The 10,481-nt window shown below is 47.7% G+C and overlaps 1 annotated feature.

The window, feature by feature from the left end:
- Positions 1,298-2,497: an enhancer, noted in NCBI's record as "MED14-independent group 3 enhancer chr6:4383813-4385012 (GRCh37/hg19 assembly coordinates)". NCBI's record gives its function as "activates an origin of replication core promoter dependent on BRD2, BRD4, P300/CBP and CDK7 cofactors, and independent of MED14, by STARR-seq in HCT116 cells {active_cell/tissue: HCT116}" and the evidence as "EXISTENCE:reporter gene assay evidence [ECO:0000049][PMID:35650434]".

The raw sequence follows: 10,481 nt of genomic DNA, 5'->3' as shown, positions 1-10,481 counted from the left end.
TCTTGGTGGGATGCGTTATTATTGTCTCACCAGGGGTCTCGGGTGGGGAATTTTCGATCTGCTGCAGGAACATTTTGGCCGGGAGGGTGTTCACATTCCCAGACTACCATAGCAGCCCTATGGATCGTGCTTCTTTCTTCCCCTGAGAAGAGGATGCTTAGGATGAACATTAGCTCAGCCCAGGTACATAACTGTGGTCCTAGAAATTGGTCAATTTGGTTTGCTACCCGATAAGGGTCATCTAATAGTAACTTAAGCTCTCTTTTTAGGTTTCATACTTCTGAGATGGTTAAAGGAACATTTACAAAGCCAATGTCTCCTCCTCCTAGGGGCACCTCCCTCAATGGGGAAGAGAGCTGGAGCTGATTCCCCTGAGGTAAAAGGGGAGGGGCAATTTTGAATATCTTCTTTACATTGCTGTTTCACTTTGAAGTCCCTTTAGGGAAGGGTACTTAGGCTGGTAGTGAGTGGGCTCTAGGGACAATTTCCAAGAGGCAGGGTTATAAGGAGGGGGAACAATAGCGGTAGGAGAAGGGTCTGGGACAGCAGCTCTTGAGGGGAGGAAAGATAGGGGTGTTTGGTGGGGGAAGGTGACCTAGCAGGTCCCAAGGCATAGAGAGCTTGGAGTTCAGAGTTTCAGTTTCCTTAGGGGAAACATTCTGTGGCTTATGCTTATCTTTTAGAGCTTTTAGGGGGTAGAGAAGAACAGGTCCTTGTCGCCAACACAAAGCATAATCTATCTCTTCTTGGGAAACTAGACTCTTGTTATTAACATGTTCTATTAGAAGCTGACAAATGCAATCCTCATTTGACCCAAATTTTGGCCAGAAAACTGAGGGTTTGAGGATTAGTTCCTAGGTCCAAATAAAACAACAATATTTTAACATTTGTTGCTTTTTCTTATGCTTAGTCCTTTCATTATCTTTCCAATACTTTAACATGAGACCTAGAGGACTATTAAGGGGAATATCATTGCTGTTAGCTTTATCCTTTTTACTCTCTGTCTTACTTGGGGTATTTCCCATCTTGATGGTTTTAGGGTGAGGCTCAACTTCCCCTACTGGAAATTTTTTGCCTTCCCTATGACTGGAGGTTTGTGTGAGGCTCAATCCCCTCTACTGGAGATTTCTCGCCTTTCCTTTCTTCTAGAGGCTCAACCCCCACCCCCGCCCCACCCATATTGGGATTTCTTGCTTTCCTTTTCTCCAGAGCCTCAATACCCCCTAGTGGAGGCTTCTTGCACTCTTTTCCTTTCGTTTCCTCCTCTCTGGCTGCTTCCCCGAAGGGAACATCATGTCCCTTTTAACATTGGTGGGTCAGTATAAACCCCTGACAGGACCCCCAAAAGGCTGCTGTAAGTCATATGAGGTGACCACAGAACCACAGATTGGACTCGCTCACTCCGCACACCAGTAGTGCTTATTCACACACTTTCAACTTCCAACCTCCGAGATGTTCCGATCATCAAGGAAATACTTTGTCGCCACTGTGAGGTTTCTTACCTTGATCTGTGCACAGAGTTACCTGGACACCACAGTATGTGATTACCTTTTTTTTTTCTTTTTTCAAAGTTGTTGGTCTGTTTCTTCCTGTGTTGCTGAGAGTCCAGGTTTATTCATCACACTGAGTGAGTCTCGATTCCTTACCCCTGAGGCTACCGCAATGAGGCAGCAGGATGTGCCTCCTCATGGGAGAGGACCGGACCCTTCCCCAGAGGAGAATGGGAATCCCACACAGGCCCCCAAATTTGTTAGAAATAAGTTTTGGTGCTGCAAAAGAAATAGCACTCAAACAGAAATTTTCTCAGCAAGGCAAATTTACTTCTGCAGAAGGACGCAGCTTGTGCCAGTCACGATCACAAGAGAACACCGAGCCGGGGGATAGGGCAGGGGTTTTTATCCCTAATGCAATTGGTTCCTACTGCTGTGTTCTTTCTCCATTGGCTGGGGTTGGACTGCACAGTCTAAACTGACCTGATTGGCTAATGTTTGAAATTGAATACAGCTATCTAGGCAGGAAGGGGAAGGCTATCCATTATGGTGCAAGGCCTGTCTAGACTTGTCAGGACATGTCAGGGAACAGTCAGGGCAGGAAGGGTTGTTTACAGCACGGGTAACTATAGAAACTAGAGAAACAAAGAACTGGAAGAAGAGGGAATTAAAACCTTTGAAGAGGAATTTATCATCTCTGACATATGCCCCCAACTAACAATTCATTTAAACAATGTCTTGTTGACAGCAGTGGCACTGTGGAACTTTTTGAGAACTAACTACTTGCACTACTGTCCTTAAAGGTAGGTTAAATTGTGAAAATGGAACTTTAGAAATTCTTAACTTCAGGGCACCACCTGTTATCACAATTTCATAAGTTTTCTTCTTGCTGCATTAACACAATATGCTTTCTGTCTTTTCCTTCAGCTGAATCTTACAAACCTTATGACTTTCCCTCTCAGCCTGTATTATTTTGGACAGAAGAGGATTTTTTTTTTTTTTTTCCTGGGACAGGGTCTTACTCTGTTGCCTAGGCTGGAGTGCAGCAGTTCATCATGGCTCTCTGCAGTCTTGAACTCCTGGCTCAAGTGATCCTCCTTCCTCAGCCTCCCTAGTAGCTGGGACTATAGGTCATACCACCATGCCTGGCTAATTTTTTTGTTTTTTGTAGAGACAGGGTTGCCCAGGCTGGTCTTGAATGCCTGGTCTCAAGCTATCCTCTTGCCTTGAGGATATTTTTGTTTAGTCTTTTCTCTTACAGAATGCTATCATTTTGGTGAATTTAGATCCTTCTATTTAGACCTCCTCAAGAATCCTGGAAAATGTCAGCATACTTAGTGTGATAAATATCCCATCAGCTGAGCCAGGTTTTCTGAGTGCAACATACCCTAACAGGTAGGTTTTATTTTCTTCCTGATTTTGGCCAAACAACACACTGAGGAAGTAGCTTCAGAAAAAAAAAAAACAAAACTCCACAAGATCCTAAGTTCCCTTCTTAGACAGCAATGAATCCCACCCTGTGTCAAGAACCTCTGTGAAATTAAGACCTCGAGGTTTCTCTCCCTCTTCTCTACTGGACACCAGTTGCTTCATTCCTGCTGGCTCCATGACCCCATTTGATTGTCCGATCATTGGCTTTCCACCCACTCTGGGAGGCACACACTGCTTTATTCCTTGTGTGTCTGGGTGTAGAGCCTTTCCTCTGTGGCCTGCAGATACAAGGGATACAAAATGAAGCCATTTACTGACACCCTCCCTGTCTCTGCAGTGAAATGAACATATCTGTGTAGCCAGCAGGCCTTAGCCTTGGATAGCCATTGAGTGTAAAAGAGGCCATGTTCCATTGATCCCCAGTGCTCAGCTCTGCCAAGCCACTATCTGCCACAAATTCTCCCCTTCCCAAGTGTGTGTGAGGCTCCCAATCTGCTTCTGCAGATTTTCAAGCTAGTTTCAATTGGCACTCATGGACAGCCCAAGGGGAATTTCATCAGGTCCCTGTTACTTGAATGACCCCCGCCCTGGCTCCTTCACAGTCCTTGGAGATGTCACTCCCATTGCATCATTCGAACCTGTGGCAGCCACAGCCCCCACCAGGGAAATCTGCTGACCACACTGGAGCTGCTCTCAGCTGTACCAAGGCTTGGTAGCCCAACTCCCTCTTTCCCTGGCTCCCGTTCATCCATCTGCTCTTGCTGACCTCCAGGTAAACCTTTCTTAGTTCCTTCTGACTCCGGAGAACTAAGAGTGAGAATGATATGTTTCATACAAAAATTGCTTATGTCCTAAATTGTAATAGCATTTGGTGCTATAGCACTTTAAGTTCAAACAAACCTGAAGTCATCTTCTTCAAATACTCCAGGGCACCTGAGTGGGCAGGTCAAGGTGGATTCTAGTATTTGCAATATGCTATACCTAGAATCAGTTCCCTTCTCTGACCTCAACAGTTAGGGGCTGTGTAAGGTTTGCTAGTGTAGACTGCCAGGGTTGTGACATATAATTTGCATGTTGTGCACCATAAAAATCTAAAGAGAGATTAAGAAGTAAATGATGCCACAATGTTGTTCAGTGCACAACCTGCACAACTGTTCATCTTGATTTTAAGTGCTTTCCTAATTATGAGTTCCCTCTCTTGGGCTCTGTTGTCCTCACTGCAATATGGCCCAGTGCAGCAGAACTGCCTTCCAATCCTTGACCCTCAAAATGCTCAGAGATCCACTGTTTTCCCCACTCTACTCGCAAGATACTAATTAGCCATTATAAAAATTTGCAAGGGCGGAGAGATGCTATCAGAACTCCACTCACAACAGCAACTGAGCCCCAACCAATGGCCAGGCAAAATATCCTCCTCCAGTTGCAAGACCCTCTCCTCTCTTCAGATGCTCAAATAATTGCAAAGAATAGAGCCTATTAAGGTTTGACAATAAATATTCTTCCTACCAGAATCCCTGCCAAGTAGCCTGGAACAGGAAATAGAGTCATCAGTAGAGTCACAGCCCCCGTTTTTTCTTGACGTCAGCATCTCTTCTGCTCCTTCCTGGATGGAGACCATCTGCCGCAACTCTCTCCTCCGTCTGTGTCTCCTTTTGTCACTGCTAATGGGACTTCCAGTGGGAATCTGGGAATAGCCTCTGCATCTCTATTATTCTCTGCACTTCTTGTGGGTCTTCTGCCTCAGTGACATAGGCCATCTCTGATTACCACTTGGGCCATGTGCCCACAATTCAGGTTGCAGCCATTAGGTACCTTTATTTGTTTGAACAGAGTCACAGTTGGGCTCAGCAGACAGTGAGATACTCAATAGGTTTAATGATGCAGCATCCAGATATTCACAGCACAGTTCCTGGCACCCATGGAGACAGCAGACCAAAGAGAGCCGAGGCTGCTCAGACAAGCTAGTTGAAATCGCTGGTGAACAATTACATCTATATATAGAACTGACCTGGCTGTGCCCCTGGCTGCCGGCTTTGATACCATTCTTTCGGGCATTTTGAGGTCCCAGACCTCCTTCAACACTTTGTTCTACTAAATGTTAGAGCTGCTTAGGAAGCACTAACCAGGTACCTCATTATAGTCTTGTTTGATTTCAGGGAAGTGACGATTAGACAATAACCCAGCCCAGATCCCCATGTTGTACTGGGTCAGATTTTGGTCTCAGCTCTCTGTTGAGCCGGCTGTGTGATCCGGAAAGTCACTTAACCTCTTGGGTCTTTGTTTTCTCATGTCTAATACACAATGACTAGATCAGCAGAGAGGAGAGAAAATTGTCTTTGCAAGCTAGTAGAACTGGGTTTTAACCCCAACTCCCCACCACTTTGTAGCTGGTCAAATTGTTTAAAGCCGAACTTGCTTCTTCTTCAGAGAAATGGTCAAGTTCATGCTTACTGGGCAGGACTGTGAGAGGATGAAATAGGAGAAACGATGTGTGAGACACACAGTAGGTATTCAATCAATGCTAGGTGTTTCCCTGGTTCCCTGAAGACTGTGTGTCGCTTTGGTAAAAACTCTGGATTTGGAGTCAGAAAACCTGGATTTGGGGTTTGATAGTCTCAGTGTGTACAAATCACATGCCCTCTTTAAGCCTCAGTTTTCTTGTCTGTGTAGTGGTATTATCACTGTTAGGATCAAGTAGGATAATATATGCAAGGGCTGCTTTGGAAGCATAAAAGACTGTATCCATCAGAATGTGGGGGTGCCTTCTCTAATTTACACTCAGCTGTAATGAACTTCTGCCACTGCACCCCCATACCAGCCCCTCCACTGCACGTTGAAAACAGGCAGTGGATATGGATGGGATATGCTTTCTCAGATGGTTCACATTCATTTATCTTTATTTCTCAGCCTGCCCCTTGGCTAGGCTTTCTGGAAATCCTGGGCCAATCATCACCACACCAGGAGAGCCGCAGGAACCAGGCGTCAAATGAAGGAGTCTTTACTGATGTTCCCTTACCTCAGTTGTCAAACAAATGAGTCTTTACTGACATTCCCTTACCTTCAGTGATGATGAAGTGGAAGCCTTCCTGCCTCCAAAGTAAAGAGATGAGCCTCTGTTGAAATTCTAGCCTGTTGGGTACTCAGGCTTCTGTGTAATGGATAACTTAGTATAAAAACAGAGCACTCTGCTCGCTGACTTTCAGAGAAGTGTGGGGAAGGAAAACAGCATTTCCCAAATTTCCCTCCCCGATCTGCTGGAGCATGGCACCCCAGCCCCAGGTGCCCGCTGTCCGCCATGGGACACACAGCACAGCACACCTCGTGTTCAGCCTGGTGCTTCCCCCACCTTTTCCTCTCAAGCATTTCTCATTGCACCCAGCAACCCCTTTTAGCATTTGGTTAAGCTGCCAGGAGCTTACCACTTTGGGTATCTGGATAGATATTCCTTAAAATGGCTACTTTGGGGATAGAAGAATCAAGTGTATTCTCCTCACCAACACACCTGACCAGTGACCAGAAAGGCATTTCAGTAGGTTGATTAGACGTGAGTGAAAACGACTTTTCAATGTTGGGATCTATATGGAATAAGTACTAGGTGTTCACTAAAACGATGACATTGTGCAGTTGTAACAACCCTTTGTGAAAGTGCCCGAAGAATCTCAGATGCCAAAAAAAATCTATATCTATAGATATCTATAGATATATATACAAAATGAAATGTTTCCTAGATGTTTATGAAAACCTGTATTAATAATTCCATCTAGTTTTCATGGGAATGGTTTCTTGTCTCAGATAAAGAATTGCTCACTCTCTCAGCCAAGGGAGCTCATTATTTTGGCTTTGCTGACAATCAAAGAAAATGTCTGAAGTCCAGTTTTAGTTATATGGTGACATGGTAACGTCCTCTTGTTGGGGGCACAGTACTTAGGGGGCAGTGAGGACAAACAATGGACCCAGCAGTGGTTCCTCTTAAAAGGCTAAAGGCACCCCGTTGGAGAGGTAGTCCCATAGGAGACAGAGGCCTCATGGCCAGTTTGGGTGCTTCATTTTAAGGGACAGTAACGAACAGGAACAGGTACTGGGGATGTGGACAAAGATGGCAGAAGCTCTGGATTCCACTTCAGTTATGGGAATGGGGCTGTCAACACAAAGGCAAGGAGTCTTGGGGCACATGGTGATCACCCACAAATTGGGGGCTTTTGGGGGGGCTATTTAAGTTGGAACGGTGACCAGTGGGTGGCCATTGATATTGGATCAGATTTGGGGTAAAAAATGTCTTCTGAAGAGAAAAACAAATGTGATAGCAACAGGCTGGTGTTTCATGATGGTCTTGCCTCAAGAGGGCTCTTCACTGGACTGACTGGTGCCTTTATGAGGGGTGGAACCATTACGGCACCACACTGCCGTACCTCCTCCTCTTGGGCTCCTGGGATTCCTGAGACTTGGAAAGGGCTGTCGCCATGGGGTGAGTAGGAAGAGGAGAAGCTTGGTCCCGGGGCACAGCAAAGCCCTCTGTTTCTGGATGCTTGCAGGCAGGTCTGGCTGCCCTCACAGGACATCCTTGGGGATAGACACTAGCAGGAAGGACAGCTGGCCTGGCCCCTCGGGGTGGCAGGCAGTGGACACTGCGATTAGGTGAAAGTCAGGCAAAGACTCCGCCCCCAGTGCGGCCAGAGCCCTTTGCAGATCCCCGATTAGATCCTGGCTGATGGCGACGTGTACTCACTGGAAACTCCCAGCAGTCAGCCCCCACTGAGCTCAGCTCCCCCAGGCCCTTCAGGGCCCTGTGTGGAAGGAGCACCTCCCCCAGGGAGAACCAGCCCACTCTCTCCAGGTGGACTCCCCTAGCTCTGCGCTCATCCCTGTCCCCTCCATCTTCCCTGGCTCTGGGAGAAACTCTACTCCCCACAGATTCCATTTCTTTTTTTTTTTTTGATTGGGCATTTCGCTCTTGTTGCCTAGGCTAGAGTGCAATGGCACGATTTCAGCTCACTGCAACCTCTACCTCCCAGGTTGAAGCGATTCTCCTGCCTCAGCCTCCCAAGTAGCTGGGATCACAGGCATATGCCACCACACCCGGCTAATTTTATATTTTTAATAGAAATGGGGTTTCACCATATTGGTCAGGCTGGTCTTGAACTCCTGACCTCACCAAGGGCCACCCACCTTGGCCTCCCAAAGTGCTGGGATTACAGGCGTGAACCACAGTGCCCAGCCCCCATTTCTTATCTTTTTTTGTCCTTGCCCAGGGCAAGGTATTTTCCACAAGGGCTTTTGGAAACTAAAGCCAAAAAAAGACCCACATGCTATTTTTCACTTTATGCTCCATCTCATTCCTCCCCGGGGGCAACAAGCCCAGGACGTGTGGCTGATGGATGCCAGGAAGGTCAAAGGGGTGGAGACTCTGGGGAACAATGTTGGTTACAATTCCAAGCCCATTATCCCTACACTTACATGAAATCTGCTGTGTGGAGGTGCCAGGCACCTCACATGCACTGCCTTCTCTCAGACAGTCATTCACTCTTCAATTAATCTTTAAAGAAGCCTTCATTGTGTGTGCCAGACACTGTTCTAAGTGCAATGTGTGAAGTACATGAAACCTCAGAACCTGCTTTCTGAAAGTGAACCTTAGCACCTGGATTTTTACAGATGAGGAATTTGGGATACAGAGAGAGAAAGCTCCATAAGATTCACACCTGGGTTGGTTCCAAAGACCCCACTTTTCGCCCGCCAGTGCGTTGCTTCCCAAGGCAGTCATCAGTGATCACAGTGAGAAGAGCTCCTTGGGAGGCAGTGACCAGGAGCAGTGCCTGAGCAGATGGAATCTCAAGGCACCATTGAGGATACTCTGCACCCATGGCTGGTGGGAGGTGAATAAGATCATGTCTAAGGCAGGCTGGACTCTGAAAAAGTCAGGGGGTTCTGCTGACCTCAGGGAGCCAGACTGGCAGTCAGCTTGACTGGGTAGAGGAAGGAAGAAAACTGAGCTGATCCAAGGGCAGCCCCAGAGTGAAGGTGAATGATGTGGATATCATCCAGGCAACCTCCAAAGGGCTCCCTGACGCTCCCCTGATTCCTTGTTCCATCATCAAACATCCGTCTGGGTCAGGCTTTGCCCAGCAGGTAGAGCTGGAGGCAACACATTCCCAGCCACTGAATTGACCACACTCATGTTCAGAGGTTCTCTGCCTCAAGAGCTTTCAGAGAGAGTGACGCCCGTCCCCTATCCACCATGAATCTGACGAGACGGGCAGGGGGCTCGGGATGGAAGTCAGTCCATAAACAAAAGATGGTGGCCAGATGCCACCATAAGGGTTGCACTTGTGGTGCTGTGGGATGCACAGAGGATTATAAGATGGACTCAGCTTTGCAAAGTCAGAGACAGGCCTGGCTAAAGAGGTGGCACAGAAGCAGTGTCTTGAGACATGAGTGGGCATCAGCCAGGGCCAGGTGGAACAGGAAGGGCCTCCAGACTGGAGGCATGGCGTGTGCAGGCTCTGGGGAGTGGAATGTGGGAGGATTCATGAGTAGGAGGCAGCTCAGCCTGAGGATCTGCCTGCCTGGGCTGCAGCAAGCACACCCTCACAGCACCGTGAGCTCCTGGCCCATCCAGGACCCCACCTCTCTCACACCTGAGTTACTCTGACTTCCACCTTCCTTACTGGAATCCTCCTTCCTCACCCACACAAGCATGACCTCAGTGGCTCCCTGGCACCACTTTTGGCTCTTACACCCTGGCTCCGGGTGCCTTTCCCCCCTCCATAGCTCCTTGACCCTTTGTGGACCACAGCCCCTGGAACTCAGGCCTGGGATCGACTTCTGAATTGTGGGGTCAGTGAGGCCAGACTTCAGCCCTGTGGAGCCCTGGAGTCCCAAGAAGGGGCCTCAGAGCCCACAAAAGGAAAGGAGACATGAATGGGCATGGCTTTGGGTCCTGTGTCCCCTTCCCCCTCACTTCCATCGGTTTTGTATACCGTTCCAGGATTCCACATGAGGTTTGGTGTGAAAATCAAAAGTGCCCTTCTGCTATAGGAATAACAGCTTGAGGGGCCATGTAGCCCAGGGATGAAGAATATGGACAGGAGAGTGAGCTCTGCCTGCATCACTTCCTAGCCTAGTGACCTCTCTGTGCCTCAGTTTGTTCATCTCAAAAATGGGGATAATGGCTGGGTGCGGTGGCTCATGCCTGTAATCCCAGCATTTTGGGAGGCCAAGGCGGATGGATCACCTGAGGTCAGGAGTTCGAGACCAGCCTGGCCAACATGGTGAAACCCCATCTGTACTAAAAATGCAAAAAAATTAGTTGGGTGTGGTGGCACATGCCTGTAATCCCAGCTATTTGGGAGGCTGAGGCAGGAGAATCGCTTGCACCCGAAAGGTGGAGGTTGCAATGAGCTGAGATTGTGCCACTGCCCTCCAGCCTGGGCGACAGAGCAAGACTCCATTTCAAAAAAAAAAAAAGAAAAAAAGGTAGGGGGGAGGATAAAGACAGTACTTTCTTCTTAGGTTATTGTGAGAGTTGGATACAAGCACAACAGGCAAATTGTTTTGTAGGGGCTG

Source organism: Homo sapiens, chromosome 6 (assembly GCF_000001405.40).
Source record: "Homo sapiens chromosome 6, GRCh38.p14 Primary Assembly".
Lineage (NCBI taxonomy): Eukaryota > Metazoa > Chordata > Mammalia > Primates > Hominidae > Homo > Homo sapiens.
Note: the sequence above shows the minus strand (reverse complement) of the source record. Positions and strands in the feature narration are given on the sequence as shown.